At 39.0% G+C, this 21,854-nt stretch overlaps 1 protein-coding gene across 5 annotated transcripts in view; it reads right to left on the reverse strand.

Moving 5' to 3' along the window:
• Nucleotides 1-21,854, reverse strand: part of RAPGEF5 (Rap guanine nucleotide exchange factor 5) — a 238,919-nt gene that overhangs the window by 84,959 nt on the left and 132,106 nt on the right. For 2 of the 5 annotated variants that reach the window (NM_012294.5, XM_017012837.3), the window contains one exon: nucleotides 16,672-16,797. In NM_012294.5, the coding sequence (NP_036426.4) occupies nucleotides 16,672-16,797 (126 nt within the window). Of the gene's footprint in view, nucleotides 1-542; nucleotides 15,954-16,671; nucleotides 16,798-21,854 lie in introns of those variants that run through there. The other 3 variants (XM_047421084.1, XM_047421083.1, XM_011515652.3) reach the window with 3 other exon arrangements.

Here is a 21,854-nt window from a genome sequence, read left to right on the forward strand (position 1 = left end):
GAGGTTCCAAGCCCCTCTGCCAGAGGAGGGCTAGGGATGATGAAATAGATCATTTTCATGGGCGTGTGGGGCTGTTTCTTTCTGGTACTCACCTCCCCGCAAATCTCACTCGCCAAGAAGTGTACACCTCTAGAGACCAAAAACTAAAAGAAGGGAGACAAGGAAGTTCAGTTGTCTCTCTGACTGTTACATTTTTAACACAGAATGTCAAGAGATAGCTAATGCTCTATGGGCTCTTGGTCTTTGGTCAGGGTGACTGACGATCTGCAAAGGCACAGTTGCATCCTTCATTGTTGGCATGACTGGAATATACACAGGAGAAAACACAGCAATGACAAACAAGGTGTGATGCCAGCCACGGTCACCTGAAGTGAGCCAGCTGGAATGCCACTGCTTTCTGCTGCTCCTTGTTCCAGATATGGTGGTTATTTCCTTCTGCAGAGACTCGGAGGTACATCCATTCGCCCTGGTTAGAAGGCCCGAGGGAATAGGTGAAGGGTCAGCCAAACTAGGAAACCACTGAGATTTTTTGAGCCACTTACCACCTGCATGCTGTGGACCAGGGCTCCTCAGCAGTGCCTCAGTTCCCTGAAACCAAGCAGCCTGGGTCAACGGGCAACTGAGGCATGGTACAGTGTGCACACATGACCTGACAGAGGCCTATTTGAGATCACGTCGGAAGAAATGAGGATGCAGAAATCTAAATTAGATCCTTAAGCATTTCCTGAAATGTAGAAGAAGAAAGGGAAAAAAATTGCCAGTAACCCGAATCACTGCTTTTCACTAGCAGCCCAAAGGTAGGACAGAAACCTACACTAAATTATGATTAAAGTTTCTACATTCTGGTTGCAGATATATTTGTCCCGTGGGGTTTGAATAATCCATGGCAGCAGTTTTACAGAAGCCTTTACAACTGAACAACAAGAGGATAACATGACTTTTCAGAGCAGCATAAAATAGCTAGCCCTGACTGGTTCCTATGGCTTTGACTTCTCCTCTCAAATTCCTCCCATAGGATCTGAAACTTAGTTGTGTTTGATACCTCCTGACTCAGTGAAGAACTAATTCATAAACTGAAATTATTTGAAAAAGCTAGTTCTTATGTCTGAGCAGACCCAGCAGAAGTATTCTTCAAACTTAAAAAGGAAATAAACTCTAAAAAATTGAAAGGCTTCAAGTCAAAGAACTCTATCACTCTTCCCAAATTTCCTGTGCGTGTGTGTCAATGAGCATCTGCATGTGTGTACGTGAGGAAATGCTTGTGTGTGTGTGCACGCATGCCTGTGGAACTTCCATGAGGGCAAAGTAGCAATCCAAAGGGGGAGTTTCAGTATTTATGCAAGTTATGGAATGAAAAATTTCTAGCTACTGTAGCAGCTGCCAGATCACATGGAATGAGAGTGAGGAGATACAAAGCATCTTAAGTAAACACTCCTGTTTTTTCATGTTTTGTACATTCCTTGGTGTTTTTAGGGAGGCACGCCTTTGGTCTCTGCTGTAGCCATCTCAGAAACTTCATTTCACAGTTTGAAACAAGGTTGGGATAAAGGTAGACAAAGTGGCACTCTTGGTGCATGGAACAGTAACAGGAAGTTGGTATTAAAAATAGGTTAAGAGAATGTAAGATGTAATGAAATATTGCTAAAATGATTTGAGAGGCAAGCAAAAAAGTAAACAAAAAACCAGAAGGTAAAAAGGAAGAGCGAAGGTTAAAATAAGACAAAGATGAATTTGCTTGCATAGGGGTAGATCTCTCCTGCCTTTTTTTCCAAGGGAGGGAATAGGTGTGGAGAGAAGAGGAGGACAGACTGGGGGAACAAAAAAGGAATTAGTATTTAAGTGAGGAATTAATATTAAAGTGATAACACATATGAAAAACAAATTCTCTTTTCCTGAATATTAATGTGCACCTGGAGGGCCAAAGAAGGTCAAAATCCTCACGTACAAACCTGCCCAGGTAAGATCTTTGCTCCACAACCTGTGATCCATTAAAGTCTGAACGTCTGCATCCACTCTTTACCAGGGATGGATTCTTCCAAAGACTTTTCTGTATTACAAAGTGACTACCGGTGATGAACCTTCCTGCCTTTTCTGCTTATCATTTCCAGGTTAATTCTCTAAGGTAGAAAACTTCTTATTTAAAACTTTAAATATCCAATGAACTGGAATCCTGAAGCTGGTAAAACTTTGGATTTTTACAGATGTGATTTGAAGTACTCGACTGTGGGAAACATCTCAAACCACCCACAATTTCCTTCTCTATCAGCTCCAGTTCCACAAACACTGACTGAAAGCCTAGTGCTAAACACTGGGGATAAAAGTTCAAATAAAATATAGGCATGCTCTCAAAGAGTAAATTCTTCACGTGACAGATAGACATGTAAGAGACAAAAATCTGCATGTTTTAAAAACAGTAATTTGGAGCTAGGCTGTGGGTAGCAGCTAATGAACCTAGCCAACATCAAGAACTAGGTTACTTTCTTGGTATTTCTAAGAGTTCAAGGCAGTAAGAGCTAGCATTTCCTTCACTGCAGAGATTTGGGAATTCCAGATTTTGATCCTCCTCAGGACATTCTGATCTCAGAGAAACAATTCCAAATATTTAATGACTTGACTTGAAATATCATTTTAATGTCCTGATAACAGACACTTCTAGCTGGATATGCTAGATCAGCCATCTGTCCTGTATCAACACCATTTCACAGAGTAAATTTTTAGAAGTTCTATCCACTGGAGTATTTTTAGAACATAAAAGAACAGAATGATTCTTGGCATTGATAGACATATTCAATCAGAGTGAAAAAAGAGCTACTCAGAACTTCCTGAGTAATCAATTGGTATCCTTTATAAAATGGTGACATTTTCCCAGAAAGAGTTCAACACTCAAAAGCATGGATATTGCAGAATCTGGGGGGAAGGGTGTCTTCAAGTTAAGAAAGGAATTTTAGAGCTAGAAGAAATCTTAGACATCTAATATCTTAATTTATTAGATGAGAAGACTGAAGCTCAGAGAGGTAAAGTGATTTACTAAATCAGCACTCAACATATTAACTTGGGAGGTAGTTTGTTCATCACAGAATTTCAATTCTTCCAGAATAAAATGAATGTCTTTGATGCTAGTAATAAAATAGTAAATTAACTGAAGAAAAATTATGCATGTGATAGTTGATCAAGAAATCTTACATTACAAAAATAAATCACAGCTATATTAAAAAATCCAAGTGAGGCCAATCTCAGTGGCTAATGCTTATAGTCCCAGCACTTTAGGAGGGTGAGTTGGGAGGATTTCCAGAGCTAAGGAGTTGGAGACCAGCCTGGGCAACATAGTGAGGCCTTGTCTCTACAAAAATACCAAAAAATTAGCTGGGCGTGGTAGTACATGCCTGTAGTCTCAGCTACTCTGGAGGCTGAGGTGGGAGGATTGTGGCTGCAGTGAGTTGTGATTTTTCCATCACACTCCAGCCTGGGCAACAGAGTGAGACCCATGTCACAAGAAAAAAAAAAAAAAAAGAGGTCTGAGTGAAAAGTGCAACTCCAAAAGGAATAGAAAAAATAAAATAAAATTTTACTTAATGAGGAAGGGATTTCTCATTTTAAAGACAATATTAAAAATAAAAAACATTTCCACTCATGTGTATAAAAATAATTAATTAGGAAACAAACTAAGTAGAAAACAAACTGAGGAAAACAATATGCAACAAATATGACAAAATTTTATATCCTTCATATGTAAATAACTTGTCCAAATCAATAAGAAAATTTCAGTGAGAAAAATGAGAAAGGAGAAAAATAAATTACTTACAGAAGAAAGAGAAATAGGTTGATATAAGTCGCAAATATTCAACTACACTAGAGATGTACATTTGAACAAGATAGTATTTTCCTCCCTCTCCCTTGGCCACCATCAACCTGACAAAGATAACATAGTTTCTCCTACTCAAAATTGTAACACTCAATGAAGGTGAAAGCTAGGATGAAGGGATTACAAAACAAGTAATTTCATATATTGCTGATTTAAGTAAAAACTAGCACAAGCTTTTTGGAAAGTGGTTGGGTAAAAACATAAAAGATAGTAATGCAGTTTATATTTATAAGTAGTAATTCTGCTACTAGGAATTTATCCTTAAGAATATAAACTTAGTTAAAGATTTTTGGAGAGTTGCGCGTTATAGTTTATAATAGCAAAATTCCCCCAGGGAAGGGTAGCTAAGTAAAGCATGTCATGAAAATATGAGGAAAGCCTCAGAATACAAAGACTGGGGACAGCCAGGGGGTGGGGGGAGGAAATAGTGGTTTATCATTAAATTTTTATTTTCTTCCTTGTAACTTTCTATTATTTCTAAATTCTCTATGAAGGGCATACATTACTTTTACAGTAGTAGAACAACTTTAAACAACAAAAATTCTTTAACAGAAATGTGCTATAAATTCCAGCAAGTTGCTTGCTACTTTACTCTGGACTGTTAAACACCTGTAAACCTCTTCCAGATGAAGCCTGTTTTCAAAAACAAATTCAATCAGTGAAACACGCCAAGGACTATGTATAATATACTAAATTTTTTTTGACAAGTATATTTTGTAGCTAGAAAATGGGGAAGGGAATGAATTGTAAACTCCAATATGCAACCTCCTTTAGATTTGAGATTTATAATCTTTGTCATTTATGATTTGTGTCCTGACCTGGCCATAACCCAGGAAGTAAAAAAGATGATGCTTAATTTAGCAAATGCCTTACAGGAATGTGAGAAAACAATTTTCTGGAAACAAATACCTTATTCAAAGTGCACTCTTTCCTCCCATCTGGAAGCCTTTCCTGGCCCTCTCTTCTGTGTGTTTTTGCCCTTCTTCTTTACTGGGTTTTCCTGTCTGGGTTTTCACATGCTTCTGTCTCATTTCACATGCTTCTGTCTCATTAAATGCCGGTATCTTTGGGGCTCACATCACACCTTGCTCATTTCTGTCTCTGTTCTATTTCATGTGATGTCTTGTTCATAGGTGCTCAACAAATGCTTTTCTCAGTGAATGAAGGTAAGAATAAATTAATCTTAGCCAGATATTTTAAAATTTTGCTCTACTTATAAAAAAAAGGTTGTACTGACATTAAAATTATTTAGGCCATCAACAAAGTTAACTTTATGTATTGTCACTGAATGACTACACTGGTGGCAACAAGCTAAATAGCTATTTGGTTGTCTTCTATCTTCACTAGTATAACTCTTTCTAATCATCTCTGTGAGTTCAAATGAAGGAATCTGAATTAAGCTGCTGATGGTGGAGAAACTGTCTGATCAGCTCAGCACAGATCATTAGGGATGATCATAAGGGATGCTGGCCTCTGTCTGAAGACCAGTGCAATAACCAGTGTGACCAAAATCCCTGTGTCTCTGGCTCATCACACTCAGCTAAGGAATAATTCCCTTCACTGGGTCTTCCACAGGCCTGTGCTGCCCAATTCTTCCTTCTTTATAGGGTTCCCTAGACTGAGATGTCTGCAGCCTACTATCATCAATCACTCAGAAGGAAAAGTCACCATTTTTTGCTTCTCTAGTCTGGATTGAAGCAATCTAAAAACTTGGGTTTGGACCAAAATGAGACCAGCAAGACACTCTTTTGCTACGTTCTTCTCCAAAGATTCTAGGGAAGAACTGGACTAGCCAGATATGGAACGTAAAGTAGAAGTCAGAGCTAAGATGCAAAAATCACAAACCACAAAGTGTGGGGCACCATTATTGGTGCAGCTGCAGATGCTGAAGGTACCTACAGCCACTCTGATCATTATTAATAAGGTTCTTTCCAGGGTGTGGTGAATTTTGTCAGGTCTGTGCACATCTCCTCTATGTGCCAAGATTATGAGTAATACTAAAGGAGAGGAACTTAGATTTACTGACTTGGGATGGAAATGGGATCTACTGACAATTGAGATAAAGGTCAGAGGTGATTGCCAAATTATAATGGCAATGGCATTTAATAGTTCAACAAGTCATGAAAGGCTTCTGTGCACAAACATCTGGCATTCAAGTATATTCCTGAAAGACAATCAGAATAAAATTGGCTCTCTCTTTTGTTCCAAAGTTTCTTTTCTCAGATTTTAAGGAATAGGCAGAAGTCTGCCTTGTGCAGGCTCAAGATCTTCCTTTTATCCCTTTCTTGGCTCATCCTTTAATCACAAACCTGTAGGTGTAAATCAATACCTACTTGGGCCGTGTGTGCTCTCATCTCTCCATTTCGTATCCTACAGTTTTTACTTACATATCTTCTAAAATTCTACTCATACATATTATTAGAGAGGAAAGTATTATGTCTGTAGCTTCAACTATCCTTCCCCCCCACCATTTTTAGAGTTATACCTGAGTGTTGTTTTAATACTGAGATAATTTTTAGACATGTGCTTCCAGATGGGTGTTTAATGAGAAGAACTGAATGATCCCATTTATTTTTTGCTGGCCAAATTGTTTGTGCCCACTTTCATGAGTCACTAATTTTTGAGGGGCTAACTGCTAATAGGTAGGGGAGGAGTAGTTCTAAAGAAGTGTTGTCTTAGGGCAAGGGTCACGTCGATCAGCCCAGCCTCACTTTAGGGCCTCACAAAATCTAACTTCAGGAACACAAAGAGATAAAAGCACAAAGCCTGAATTAAGAAGTTCTCTAACAAACTAAAGAATTACACTTTTTGTTAACAAACTATTAACAAAATTGCTTCTGATTACAGAGGCTAAAAGGTATTTACTTTTGCTAGAAGATATTATCAATGGAAATGTTTTAACATTTTCTTGTGACTAATGCACTTCCAAAAGAACTAATGGTCTTAGAATATATTTTCCCCTTTTTAGAGGAAACTGCTTATAATCCTATTTAGCAGGTGCCAGTTTTAGAAATAAAGTTTTCCTTCCCCAAGCCATCAAGACACATGATATCTAAAGTTCTTTCTAATGCCTATGACTCTCAGAGGAAAACTCCAGACTACTCAGACTGATGGTGAAAAATAATGCATCATCACAAACCCCCAATTTGTAATAACAATAAGTTGACTGAGCAGGGAGAAAGTGATAGCATCCAGCAATCATAAAACTCACTTTGGGATTTTATTATGCATTGTGCCATTTGGGGAATGTTAGAATTCTTTATTCACAGGGGTGTCAACATAAAGCTTGTTCTACTTCTCTAAATCCTAGCCAAGGCAAGATCATGAAAGGTTTTAAGAACTATCTGTAGGAAGTACCACTGTCTCCTCTCTTTGATGGTGGAGGGCAAAAATTTTACCTTGACACATTCCACCCCGACTCGCACCTCTGAGGTCACCCAGATATGCTTTATGACTCATTAAGTTTTTTGAGCCTTCTTGTGAATCCATACCTCCAAGCCACTTTCTGACATCTTAATTGTCTCATTATCACCATTATTCTCTACTATTATGTGTTTCTTGGATCTTGAGGTGCCCCTAATCCTTTACTCTGACTCACTTTGCCTCAGTCGTGCCCAGTCATTCCTGGAACCTGAACAAAGAGGACATTTACAAGGATTTGTTAAAATGGTTGAGCCTTGTTCACTGACTTATGTACAAATGTGCCATAAATGAACATACATGCCACATCTTATTTCTCCATTTTTTTTTAAATGTAGGAGGGAAATGCTGGAAAAAGAGGGGAAAACTGCAAAATTCAAAAACCTATTCCAGTTAAACCTAAGTACTGCAACACTGATCTCTTCAGACCAAAACAATCATCCTTTTTGCTTCAAAAAGAGAGCAGATAATTTTAATACAAAAAATAAAGACAAATTTTTATGTAACAGCAAACAAGAACTTGGTCATGTTATAAGTAAAATACGCATATTTAGCATGATTTATTAGAAAAAATGTACTGTACACTTGCCCACAGTCTGTTATGTTCTGTTATGATATTTTCAGCAATCTTCTATTTTTGCTATCTTAAAACAACATTTAGGACTGCTGGATGCCAGATGGAATTTTTCCTTTCCACCCACTTCCCACTGCAAAAGGAAAAAAAGGTTCTTTGCATCCTACATGGACATCTTTTATAAATTTCTTTTCCTCATCTTTAGCAACCAAAGTATATGAATGACTCAGAAATCACCAAACTTTGGCTGAATCAATATGAGGCAAATATACAGCACAGTAAGTTGTATTTAAAGCGAACATATCTGCCTGCATGGTGTTTATTAACAAAAGATATTCACATTATATGCATGCACAAAATTCATTTCTACAAAAACAGGACTGACTCCAAGCCAACTTGTTAAAGAAAAATGGTGATATAGCAGTATATTTTAGGGAAAAGGTAATAAATTAGAAGTGAACTATCACTGGACATTCTGTCTTCCTGGAACTGAAGTCCCCTGACTTGAGCTGCCCACAGCAAATCCTTTTGCATGTATGCTGGTTACTACTTAATGTGAAATCGACAGAGAGGACTGTGAGGGAAGTGGGACCAGGAAGCTTTGAAGGAGTGAGTGTGACCCATTCTCCTCCTTCAAATCTGTTCCCACATTGCAACGGAGGAATGTTAAAAATTTAAATCTAATCATTTTTCCTTCCTTCTTGCTTAAATTCTACACAAAAGCTTCCTATTGCTCTTAGCACACAATGTTTGGATAAACCCACAGGTCCTGCATCCTCCAGCTCCTGCACCTTCTTCACCTGGCCCTACCTCTCCCATCCACAGTCCACACTTAGGCTCCAGCTGGTTGGTTCTGTTTCTAAAGCTGCTCTCTTCTCCACATCAGGCCCCTTGTGTTATCACATGTGTTCTCTTTTTTTTTTTTTTTTTTTTTTAGACCGAGTCTCGCACTGTTGCCCAGGCTGGAATGCAGTGGCACAATCTCGGCTCACCACAAGCACCGCCTCCCGGATTCACGCCATTCTCCATTCTCCTGCCTCAGCCTCCCGAGTAGCTGGGACTATAGGCACCCGCCAGCATGCCTGGCTAATTTTTTGTATTTTTAGTACAGACAGAGTTTCACCGTGTTAGCCAGGATGGTCTTAATCTCTTGACCTCGTAATCCACCCGCCTTGGCCTCCCAAAGTGCTGGGATTACAGGCGTGAGCCACCACACCCGGCCTCACATGTGTTCTTTCCTCTGCCTGGAACACCCATCCCTCCTCACTTTTCATAGCTCTCCTGACCCTTCAGATTCTGTCTCTCTCTCTCTCTCAGGGAAATGTGCATGACTCCCTAGACTAGCCAAGGTCCCTGTTAAATGCTTCCACAGCACTTGGATGCTGACCACACAGGTAAACTGAATTCAGTCTCTGAGTTTCTCGCAGAACATCAGTTCATGAGGTCAGAGATGTATCAGGGCAGTCCTTCAGGAACCAAGCCACACTGTAAATTGCTGCCTATGTCTCTTTACTTCTTGATATCTCTTCTTTTTATTTTTCCAAACCTTGGAAGTACACAGTTATCATGAACAACTCTCCATCTGTCTGTGCATCCTTTCCCTAAACTTTTTGTCTTAAAACATTCATTATAAACCCAAATAACACCAGCCTGACAAAAGTTTCTAGTGTTGCCTGATCAGACACCAGACTACATGGTAGTAACACTGTTACATTAATGCAGATCAGGCCTTGATGGGGGTAGAGAAGAAAAGAATATAAGGTCACCTGGGGTCTGGAGTGAGATATACCACTGGGGGAGGAGGGTGATGGCAAAACAACAGTGGCAAATAACCTGCTTTTCAATACTTCACTTTAATGATTTTTCAACCATATTGCAGATGATATGGCTATTTTAATTTTACAAGAATAAGAACCTAATAAAGCTAGGAGCAGCATTTGTACAGCAGAGAATAAAAGGACCCTTTGATAACATGAGTTTGATAAATCAAACAAACTGAGCCAGTATCAATGTTCTTGATTGAGCCTTTTAAAATAAACTTGAGCACCGTCAAAAAATAGCATAATGACAAATTCCTCTCTCTTCAAAACCGCTCAAACTAATTTTTTAAAAATGTTAGGACTTGCAGTGGGCTTCTTGTGAAAACCTAAAAATACAGCTAATGAGCAGATGGTTCCACCAGACAGCAGGAGCACACCACTGACTTTCACTGGCAGTTAACTGCTATTTTTCTGGAGGAAAAGCTAGAATTTAAAGAGCACACACAGTGAACCAAACTTGTAAACCTTGTTCCTAAATAAATGAGAAGAGCATGGTTTGCTGCAGTTGTGAAATGTGTTTGCCAGATTTTACTTCCCTCTAAATGTCTTATTTAGAGACTTCATTAAATGCTGTCTTGAATGGTTAACTGTTTTCCATGTATAAATTCTTTCCCCAGCTAGACTGTAAACTTCTTGGAGGCAAGAACTAGCTACTTCTACTTTTTTGTTACTCTGTGGCCATATTATTCCCTATTAAAAATGGACTATAATAACTCACTCCAGGAAGCCTAATTCCAATGGAAAGATACTTTAATACCAATCCAACACAAAGTCAGGATTTTGTTATTAAGAAAAATAACCTGGTTTCAATGAGGTGATTTCTCAGTTTATAATTGGGCAACTTAATGTATTATGAATTGCCTATTATACCCTAGTTGTGACTTTCAATTCTATTACAGTAATGTTAGAAAGTTCTACTTCTCTTTAGTAAGTAGTTTCTTGGTTAAACTAAATTACTGATAAACTTCAAATAATGCTGGGATTGCTTGAAACTACTCACCTAGATGTACAATTATAAGTTTGAAAACAATGATCAAACCTCTTTTCCTTTTAGTATTTCATATAGAGTAAAAAGAGGATTTTCACCTTATATTTAACTGCTTAAAAAGAGACAAAATGAAATTTGGGAAAAGGTAGAGACCAACTTTTAATATGTAAATAAGTGTGACAGTAGCCAGAATACTCCAAACCACTTCTCCCCTCGTAATCCTTAAACAAGGAACCTTTGACGTAGGCAGAATTCCAGGATGAGGCTGCAGGAAACAGGGAAAAGGAAATTCCGGTTGAGGCTGAGTGATAGAGACCCTACCCTGGCAGCAGACTGTGCCAAGATGCAGTTTCAGAGTGTGCAAAATCCCCTTCCCACCCATCCATATTTCATGAGTGAATTAGAAAAGGGGAAGGAAGTAGGGTGGGTCCCCAGACTTAACAAAGGAACAGAAGAAAATGGGGTGGGGCAAGGGAGGGATACAGACAGGATCCCTAGGGAAAGTATTGCTGAACCAAGTTTTCACATACATTTTACAGATACTGCTCATTTCTACAGTTGGAAGTCAGGAAGTCAGGTTAGGAGCTATTGTTGGTATTTCTAATCTACAATTTAATACACTACAAAGCATAAACTACATTTCGGGAAAATACAGGTTCAGTTTTCTGGTGAATAGTGCAGCTATATTCCTGGAAATAGGACCCACATCCATCTAGTCATATACTTTGATGTAACTATTTTACTGAAAATAAAATATGAAAAGTTTATAAGCTTTTCAAATCTAAGTTACGACTGGGCAAGCACCTTTTCTTTTTCTGCATTCCCGCCCCCCAACCCCCATCCCTCCCTACGTATTCTTTCTGTCTCTGTCCTCCAGAGCTGCCCTCTGAGTGCATGCCCTCTTTCGAAGGACTGCTGTGGTTCCGGTTACCTTGGCTTCTGGGCCACCTATCAGTCCTCACTCCAGTGATGAAGGCTGAAGGAAGACACCCTCCAGAGGCAATCAGACTTGAATTCACTCTGGCCCCAAGTCTGCTTAATCACTCTTCAGCTCCCTCACTATTCAGTCACTGTTCAGTCAGATTGAAATAATATAATTTATCTCATGAAGGCCCTGCCTCAACCATCTTCCTTAGGAAAAGTTAGAACCCCACCTAACAATCTGTCAGTGAGATAAATACTAACATCTCAGCTACCTGAAGCAAACTGCAGGCAAACAAATGCTGAGTCGTTCCTCATTATTTCTAGAATGAAGTAAAACTTCTCAGCCCTCAAAATCCTCCACAGTCTGGTCCCAATCTCATTTCTCATGAAATCTTCCTTCTCCTGCCTCCCCTCCCACACCCCCAATTCTTGGTATTCTGGAAACATGAAATCGTTTCAGAGTTCCAAAAAACATCTAATATTTTGGTATCTCTGTGCATTTTCTAATGCTATTCTTCCCACTAGGAATACTCTTCTTCAATGTGGATTCTTTAAATCCAACCCAAAACCTAATTTAAGGTCCAGGTCAAACTACTTCTGCCCTATGAAAGAATCCTGCTTTCTCAGGTGTAAATTCTTCTTCAAACTCCTATGTGTCTCTCTTGGGATTCTCTTCACTGCTTCCTTGTATCTCAGTTAGTTGTGTTGATATCTTTCCTCCACAACTAGACTATACTTCTTGAGGGCAGGAGCCACATAGTTGGGAGCCACCATAGTTAGCCTGGCTCCTCTATGACATCGGCTTGAACAAAAGTTAGCAAATGAATGGATGACAGAGAGTATTCTAGAATAGAAGTATAGTAACACCAACTCAGATTACAGAGATCAGGAGAGCCACCCTAAAATCCCAGTTAATTCTGAGGAAGGCACACATATTGCAGCAAATGCCAAAGCTCTGGCCAAATATGTCGGTTTATTTGGGAGCTACCAGAGATTCTCTCTGTTTAAGGTATTTTCAAAGGGTTCTGGAAAGAAAAGTTTGTGTAGTCCCCATAGTGTTTGCCAGAACCCCACCTAACAATCTGTCAGTGAGATAAATACTAACATCTCAGCTACCTGAAGCAAACTGCAGGCAAACAAAGCAAGGGAAATGGCTTACATAGCTTTTTGGCAAAGGTGGTAAGAAACACAACATTCTTATGTCTGCCACTATACCAAAGAATCCTTACAAATTGCTTAATATAAAATAGCATGCACATCCCCCATTGCTAGTCACTGAATTCTGTCAATTTTACTGTGTAAATGACTTTCCACATTTACTCCCTCCTCAGTTCTTATGGTCATTGCCCCAGTTCAGGCTGGCACCTCTCACTTGACTCACTATGGTAGCTTTCTAAAGGTTCTTTCCAACATTTCCCTCTTCTTCACTCAATTCTTCCTCTAAAGCAATGCCAGAGAGATCTTACAAAGGCCACATCTGATTATGCCACTTCCCTTCTTTGATGGCTTTCCTTTGACCAAAAGGCAAGTTTAAGCTCCTTAGGGTAGCTGGTAGACTTTTTTAGCTTACCAGTCTTTCATAATGGAATTTTAGGCTGACTCCCAGCCCACCCCTCTCCATTCCCTAGGAATCACCAGGACTGCAGTCATGTATCTTCCCATGGGTCCCTCTGCCTGAAATGCTGTCCCCTGCCTTCTTCTATGACCATTAGTCATTCTTCAGGGTCAAGCTCAAAGGTCCCCATCTGATAACACACGTCCCTTGCTCTGTTGGCACAGTCACAGAATTAAGGCTAGGAAATACAATGCCTACATCAGAGATAATTTCTTTAAAGAACCAACAACTCAATGTTAACTCTACTATCATAATGTTTAGAAGACACAGCCCATTTCTTTCCCCTTCTGAAAGTCCTCCCATAATAATTTTCAACACATAGGAATGAGTGCTTGCTCATTGTGCCTACAGCTAGTTAATAGAAAATAGAAAAATGGAGTGCTTCCTGAGAAGCTTGCGATAATTATACATTTAACTTCTTAAATTTCAGAAACACCTTGGCAAAAGCATAGAGTGAAGCATTTCTCTAATGGCATGCATTTATAATCACAGCATTTAGCAGTTAAGAAAATATTAGAAATGCCTACTGAGAAAGCTGTAATCCCCTTCAATTTGTAACAAGATGTACCAGCAACAAAGGCTTTATTCTATCAAATTTATGTCTTTGCCTGTGCAGTAGTGCTACAAATTAGCTCTCTCTTTGGCATCTATGTGGCATTCTAGAACTGGAAAGTAATGAAGGTTAGTCAAAAGAATGACTCAATAGGCAACTTGGATTCTAACTCAAATTTTATCACTGTCGACTTAACTAGCTTTGGCCCAGGAATGGTGGATGAAGTCGATGAAGCATTTTAAAATCATAAAAGAAAGGAAATCTGTATGTAACTTCAGGGTTTGGTCATTATTGTTATAACAAGAAGAGGAAACTGCAGACCTAGGTTTACGTTAAGTAAACTGCAGTTTCCTCTGTCCATGCTGTGTGTCAGAACTGAGTTTCTATGAAGAGCAGATGACTGCTACTGTAAAGAAAGTGAGGACAGGAAAAACGAAAACACTGCACCACCTTCATGAACACTGTGAACTTAAGGGGTAAGCAAAGGTATAGGCACATCAAATGCCCAAGACATAAAAGATTGAAGTGAATTAGCAGGTGGTTTTTATTCCTAATAAATTACTGCAAAAACTGTAACCATCTAGTACCAAATAATTCATTTAGTGGAGGACTACATCAATATCAGCCTTGAGAGTTGAAAGATTCCACTGGTGTCATCCTGCAGAAGGGAGATGACAGAATGGCTTTGTTTATATTTATCACTAGAAAGAAAGATCCCTAATATTCCTTTCCTTATTTTAAGCTTCACAGGAAAGTCTACATAGAAAAAGTCATAATTCCAATGTTTATTTACACACCATCTTTCCTCTCAGAAACAAAAACGTTTCAGAGCTGTTAATGCACCCATGATATGACAGTCACGCAAGAAGTAAAAAATGTTAGTGTTCTGTTTTACAAGTGAAATGAAGGTTTAAAGGTGACAGAGCAGATAACCAGAGCAAAGCTGCAAATCTTCAATCACTAAATTTCTGCCTCATGTTAAAAGCCTTTACAATTATCAGCCCCAATGTAGATTTCTTTTTTTTTTAATTATACTTTAAGTTTTAGGGTACATGTGCACAATGTGCAGGTTTGTTACATATATATACATGTGCCATGTTGGTGTGCTGCACCCATTAACTCGTCATTTAACATTAGGTATATCTCCTAATGCTATCCCTACCCCCTCCTCTCACCCAGTGAGAACACAAGGACACAGGAAGTGTAGATTTCTATAGTTACAGATTTGAAGAGTATTATAATCTCATTGGCCGTGACTACTTATAATATTCTGGACTGAACTAAATATACAACAAAGACAACACAGAGGTATCTTTTTAATAAGTGCAAAGTTGTTTTGTCATAAGCCTTAATCATAAGCCTAAAGCTTATGATCTCTAACTTTGGTGAAGTGGTACCCTACTGTTCTACTGTTTGATTTTTGAAAGATCTTACCATACCTGAAGTTGTTACTGGTTTACTGGACCTAACTTGCAATCAGTTGTAAGATACAGCATTCATTTTAAGAACCATAAGGAAAGAAAAATGCTCACAATTAAACTATGACATGTTTTCATATCATCAATTGTTAAGACTATTGTGGGGGAAATGTGCATCTTGAAATCAATAAAATATGGCATATGAAAACTGTTGCTCATCTAATTAAAATGAATCAAAAGGAAAATTTTTGAAAAATTTAAGCTGCACACTAGGATACTCAAATATCCTAAGGACACAGCAGAGGTTAGGCGTCAGTCTATGATATAGTCAAACTTCAGGGTGCTTTTAACAACTTGAACAAGGTGCTAAAGTTTTCAATAGTTCCAAGCAAAGTGAAGGTTGCCTGAGACCTACATCCACACTTAAAGTCAATAGTCGCCTCTGAAATAGTTCAATCACAACGCTTTGAAACTGCCTAATTATTCTCTTTCTTGAGACACCAACTGTTACAATTCGATGTCTCACTGTTAGAGAAGTGCTATGTTATTAAACTAAGCAGCCAGCCAGACTTGAGCATCTTACCTCCTCTCCTTCTCAGTAAAACCCTGCCATTTGTATTAATAGACTTGGAGGAGAAAAAGCATGAAGCAATGTTTTCCCCCTTGGAAAGGGTTGAAAACAAAATCTCAAGGAAAAATTAAAGTCAGAGAAACACATGTATAAGCGCAGAGGAATTTTCCCCTTCATGAGCAATCCTGGATAGTGCAGCACTGAGAGTGAAGTCTCATAACCAACAACAACCAAGTCAACAGATAACAATGTGTGGCACAAGAAAGTGGTCCCATTGTCTTCCCAGCATGACGGCAGCACTCTCAGTTCTAAGGCTCAATCTGAATAACTGCTTTCAGGAGGACCAAGCGGAACGTCCCTTTCCTCCAGCTTTAACTATATTCAAACAATATAACTCTTGTTGGAACACAAGCCTTCATAAGATACTGGGAAAACTCCCTTCTGACCCTCCCACTTGGTGAGAGCATCTATAATCTCTTTTTGTGTTTTCATCTATTTCTAGTGACTTAGGACACATTCATTTGGCAACTAGATCCACCTCTGTACTAAACATAAAAATATGTTGAAATGTTTTTTCAAAATTCATGTTCTACAAACTATATGATAAGGCAAAACTTCCAAAATCAAACTTGAAAGCCACCCAAGCAGGATCATAAATAGATAAGGATTCATATTTGCTTAAATGTATTCTCATATTTCTACATAATTTACTTTTGAGAAGAGTCTCTTATAAATCCTGTGTCATAAGCCACTTGCTTAGAGCTATGAGCAGCTGTCATTTTTACTAAGGAGGATGCTCTTGGGGGGAAAAAAACCCCCAAAACCTAAAGAATTTAAAATAAAATAGTCTTTCGTTCAAACATGCAATCAGGCAAAAACATTTTCCACCCCTTCAAACCTGCATCCCCAAGAGGCAAAAGGCTTACGTGTTCAGACTTCTCCTGTTCTTTTTTGTCCGTCTGCAAAAACTGATAGTTTTCTTTTGCCAGCTTCTGGACTAGTTCAATTCGTCCGATTTCATCTCTTTCCTGGAGCTTGCACATCACCCCTGCCTTAAGAGTTGGAGAAAAAGCGAAGATATACTTAAAACCACAGTCCCAGGACATGACACCACCGCAAAGTTCACCTTATAATAAGCTCATCTTTTCCACTGCCTGGATTAAATCATGGTCTTGGTAAAATATTTTGCCTTTCAAAAATTGAAGTTACATTATTATAACCTAAGAGCACCATGCCAAAAGACTTAAAGTTGAGTCTGCGTATCACCCTACTTTAAGAGGGTGAAGGACAGAGCAAACTAAATCATTTGCTACTAAGTGTGCGCCTGATAGGCTCCTGTTTGTTTGTTCCTGACAGCCTGTTTCCTGTTACATAAGCAGAGCCTAGCAAGAGGTTAAAAACTCATGGGAAAGTTAGCCAGGAACCACACTGGTGAAAGGGTGAACTGATACAGAGCCCTAAAAATAACAATATGCAACACCCCAATTCTTTAGCTCCACAACAAATTATTCCGTATATAAATAAACCCTTAACAAGAAGATCACAAGATAATTTTTTTCACAATTGGGAAGTTACCATGGGGCATTAGTAAAATACCACTAATAGTGCATAAAAGATGGTGAAATATTTTGCTAAAAATAAGACACTGGAAAAAGAAAGCTTGAAATTTCATTCATTGGGGTTTGGAAATGATCCATAAAGCATCATATTTTACATTAGGTCAAAGTGCCTAAATAATAATAGGAGGAGGAAGGTGAATCTAAGACTTTGAAATAGGAAAAAAAAAAAAAGTTCATTCTAACACACTAATTATGAAGTGTTTCTGCTCAAATTCTTTCCAAAATGGTTCATACTGACATACCAAGACATGATCTAATAAAGAAATCCAAAGTTATACTTGGCAGGAGCAGTCAAAACTATGGAATCCGTTTTCCTCAACATAACCTACAGGATTTGAATATACTCCATAACATGACCAAATACAGCAAAGGGGCCGGCAAAGAATCCAAACTTCATGATCTTAACGGTTTGTGCTAAAGATACCCGTGTTGTTGAGTGGGCAGCAGAGAAATGGAACTATCCATGCAAAGCAATGACTAAATCTTTGTTCCCAGGGGCAGTGGTATCTCTTTATCTAGCAGTTTGTCGAACTAGGAAGGAAATAAAAAATTTCTGACGTGGCCCACATCACAGACTCCTAGAGGACAGCAAGTGGAATTCCTCCACCAAAGTCAGAGATTTTTACAACATCCCTCACAAGTGGCTTTTCAGTTCCTTTCTAAAGTTTCCTTGGACAGGGACCTAAGTTTATCTTAAGACAGTCTGTACTCTGTTGGATAGCCAGGATTGTTGGAAAGTCCCTTATTCTTATCACACTAGACAAAACTGAAACCATTTAACTTCAATCTGTGAGGACTAGTTTTGCCTTTTAAAGCAATGGAAACTAGGCCTATTCTTTATCCAATGTGACAATCTTTCAAATATTTAAATACAAACATTTATTATATTCTCATTTTAATATTCTCCAGATATATATCTGATATGGTTTTGCAGAGTCGCCACCCAAATCTCATCTCAAATTGTAGTTCCCATAATCCCCACATGTTGTGGGAGGAACCAGGTAGAGGTAATTTAATCATAGGGGCAGGATTTTCCGGTGCTATTCTCGTAGTATTGAATAAGTCTCATGAGATCTGATGGTTTCATAAAGGGGAGCTCCCCTGCACAAGCTCTCTTGCCTGCCGCCATGTAAGACATGCCTTTGCTCTTCCTTCGCCTTTTGCCATGATTGTAAGGCCTCTCCAGCCATGCTGAACTGTGAGTCAATTAAACCTCTTTCCTTTATAAATTACCCAATCTCAGGTATGTCTTTATTAGCAGCATGAGAGCAGACTAATACAATATCCCTAGTTCCCTAAATTATTTTATTCATTCATTCACTCAACAGAGTAAAGGATTTATTTGAGTAAGAACCTACTATAAGTTCTGAGAATATGGTAGTGAACATAAAAAAAAACAAAGTTCTGGCCGGGTGCAGTGGCTCATGCCTGTGATCCCAGCACTTTGGGAGGCTGAGGAGGGTGGATCACCTGATGTCAGGAGTTTGAGACCAGCCTGGCCAACATGGTGAAACCCCGTCTCTACTAAAAATACAAAAAATTAGCCGGGCGTGGTGGTGTGCACTGTAATCCTAGCTACTCAGAGGGCTGAGGCAGGAGAATTGCTTGAACATGGAGGTGGAGGTTGCAGTGAGCTGAGATCACGCCAGTGCACTGGACGACAGAGCGAGAGTCCATCTCAAAACAAAAACAAAAACAAAGTTCCTTACATCCTGGAGCATACATTCATGATGTAACATACCAATAGGAAATACAGAGTGGTAATATATGACAGAAAAAACAATGAAGCAGGGTAAGGGGACAGATAAATAACTGAAGGCATTATTAAGATAAAAATGTCAAGGAAGGGTTTTCTAGTAAAATGACATCTGAATGGTGACCTAAAGGAAATGAGGAAGAAGTGATGTGGATATCCAGAAGGAAGTGTGTTTCGGGCAGAGGAACAGCAAGTACAAGGGCCCTAATGCTCAAGTGTGTTTGGCATGCTCAAGGATAGGCAGAGAGAGCAGCAGGGCTAGAAAAGAGCTGTAGGGAGTAGACTGGTGGCACTGGTTGAGAGGTAATGCAGGAGCCCAACACACAATTTCCTTATAGGCTGTATAAGGAGTTTGGATTCTTTTTCTGAATAAGACAGAAATCCTTTGGAAGGTTTTGAACAGAGAATTAGCAAAATATGATTGACATTTTAGCAGGATCATTGTATGTCCTGGGTTGGACTGGGGGAAGTAGTTGATGGTAGAAGACCAGTTAGGAGCCTGGTTTTCACATAAGACATGGCTTGGAACTTGTGCTAGTGGTGAAGGTGGTACATGTGGTTCTAACCACTGGATATATTTCAAAGGTAGAGCCAGCAGATTTTGCTGTTTGGGGGTCTCCAAAATATTTGGTTTGAGTAACTGAAAGGATGGAGTTGTCATGGGGGGAGGCAGGGGTTGATCTGGGAAGGAAAATGGCTATTGACATCCAAGTGGAGTTGCTGAGTTGGAAGTCTGGAGGTTCAGGGGAAGTCCAGGCTGAAGATATGAATTCCAGAGTCATCAGAATACAGATGGTATTCCTCTGGTTTTACCAATGGAATGGTGTAAATCCAGGAATTGAGTCTAGTGTTTCGATACTGGGAAGATAAGGAGTAATCAATCAGAAAAGGAATCTGAGGAGGAGTGGCTCCAAGAAGAGAATCTGGAGAGTAGTGAAGCTGCTTCAAGGAGGAAGAAGTGAAAAACTCTATCGAATGTTGCTGAAATATCAAACAAGATGGGCTCAAAATAACTGACACTGAATTTGACAAAAGTAATTGGTAACTTTGAGTGGAGCAATTTCTGTTTGAACTGATAGGGACAAAAGCTTTATTAACGTGAGTTCAACAGTAAATAGGACACAATTCTTCCAAAGAGGTTTGTGACAAGAAATGAGGCATTAGCTGAAGAGTGTCCTTGAAGAGAGTTTCGCTTGCTTATTTGCTTTAACATGACGGCTATTCCAGGATGTTTACCTTTATTAGAATTCCAGTAGACAGCAAAATTTGATGATGCAGGAGGGAGAAGGGGGCATTTTCAAGAGTAATGTTCTTGAGTAGGAAAGAGAAGATAAAGATCTACTCTCAGGAAGAAATATGAATCTAAATATTTCATCCAGTGAAACAGGAGAGACAGTGAAATACAGGGGTAAATATGCAGGTACGTTGGCATATTTGGTGGTAGGGACATGCAGAAATTCCTTTCTGAAGGCTTCTATTTCCCAGAAAAATAAGAAGAGAGTTATGATCTGAAAATAAGAAATTGTGGGGAGATGCTGCTGCATAAGAAAAGAAGGCATGTTAATAGTCACTTAGGTTACAAGCACTGGCAAACTATTTTGTAAAGGGCCAGACAATAAATATTCTAGGCTTTGTAGGTCATGGGGTCTCTGTTGCAACTGCCCAATTCTGCAAGAGATAATATGTAAATGAATGAACGCAGCTACATTCCAATGACATTTTATTTATAAAAACAAACAGTAGGCTGTGGTTTGTCAACTCATGGCCTAAGAGAAGGGGAAACTGGGCAAGGGAAGTAGAATAAAGATTGCCAAGCATTACTAAAGGCCCACTTGATTTTTATTTTTAGATCCTTTTATGCTCCTAGCCATCCTCCTTAGGGCATATTTCTGTTTGTCAGGATTTTAATGCAGTCCATAATCTGAGACAATGGTAAATATATGGGCCTATCATTAAGATGCTCTTTTAATCTACACTAAGAAGGGTAAAAAAGTTTCAATGGTGTTATAAAATAACTATGAAGGCAGGGAAACTGGGGCAATTTCTACTTACAAATAAACATTACTTAAATGCTTTGACACTTAAATACATTTCTATTATCTAGAAAATTCATGTACGTCAACCAGCGAGGATTTCTTCTCTCTCTTTCCATGTCATCTGCACAGTGTTTAATACACTGTCCTGGCGGTGGAGGGAGGATGCTAATGACCCTCCAAAATGCCAACCTGGAAACCTGTTCTGTGGTTTAATCAGTGGTGTGATGGATTTAGTCCCCATCTTGCTCTGCTCCCCAGTATGGCCCTCCCATACAAAAGACAGCATGTGGGGAATGGAGGCCCAGACAGTGGTGGGACACATATGAGAGTACTGGATAGCTATAACTAACCCGTCACCATGGGGAGCCTGTTCCCTCCTTTCACCGGCACTGGCTCCAAAGCAACTCAGCTAAGCTCCCACAGACTCGATTTGGAGACAGTCTGTCCTTCTATCTGTAGGTCCCAAGTACAGTGTTTTGGTTTTCTTTTTTTTTTTTTTTTAATCAGCTGATTACAGCATCATCAATAAAAGGCCGAAATTAAATAGAGGAAATTTAAGGTCTTCACTATTTTTTTGGATTTCTGTGTGAACATGATTTTTCAAGGAACTCTAAGCATTTTTCACATATTATTAGAATCCTAAATATAAACTTTTCTCTCAGCCAAGTGCAGTGGCACACGCTTATAATCCCTGTGTT

The sequence above is a fragment of the Homo sapiens genome, chromosome 7, assembly GCF_000001405.40.
Source record: "Homo sapiens chromosome 7, GRCh38.p14 Primary Assembly".
NCBI lineage: Eukaryota > Metazoa > Chordata > Mammalia > Primates > Hominidae > Homo > Homo sapiens.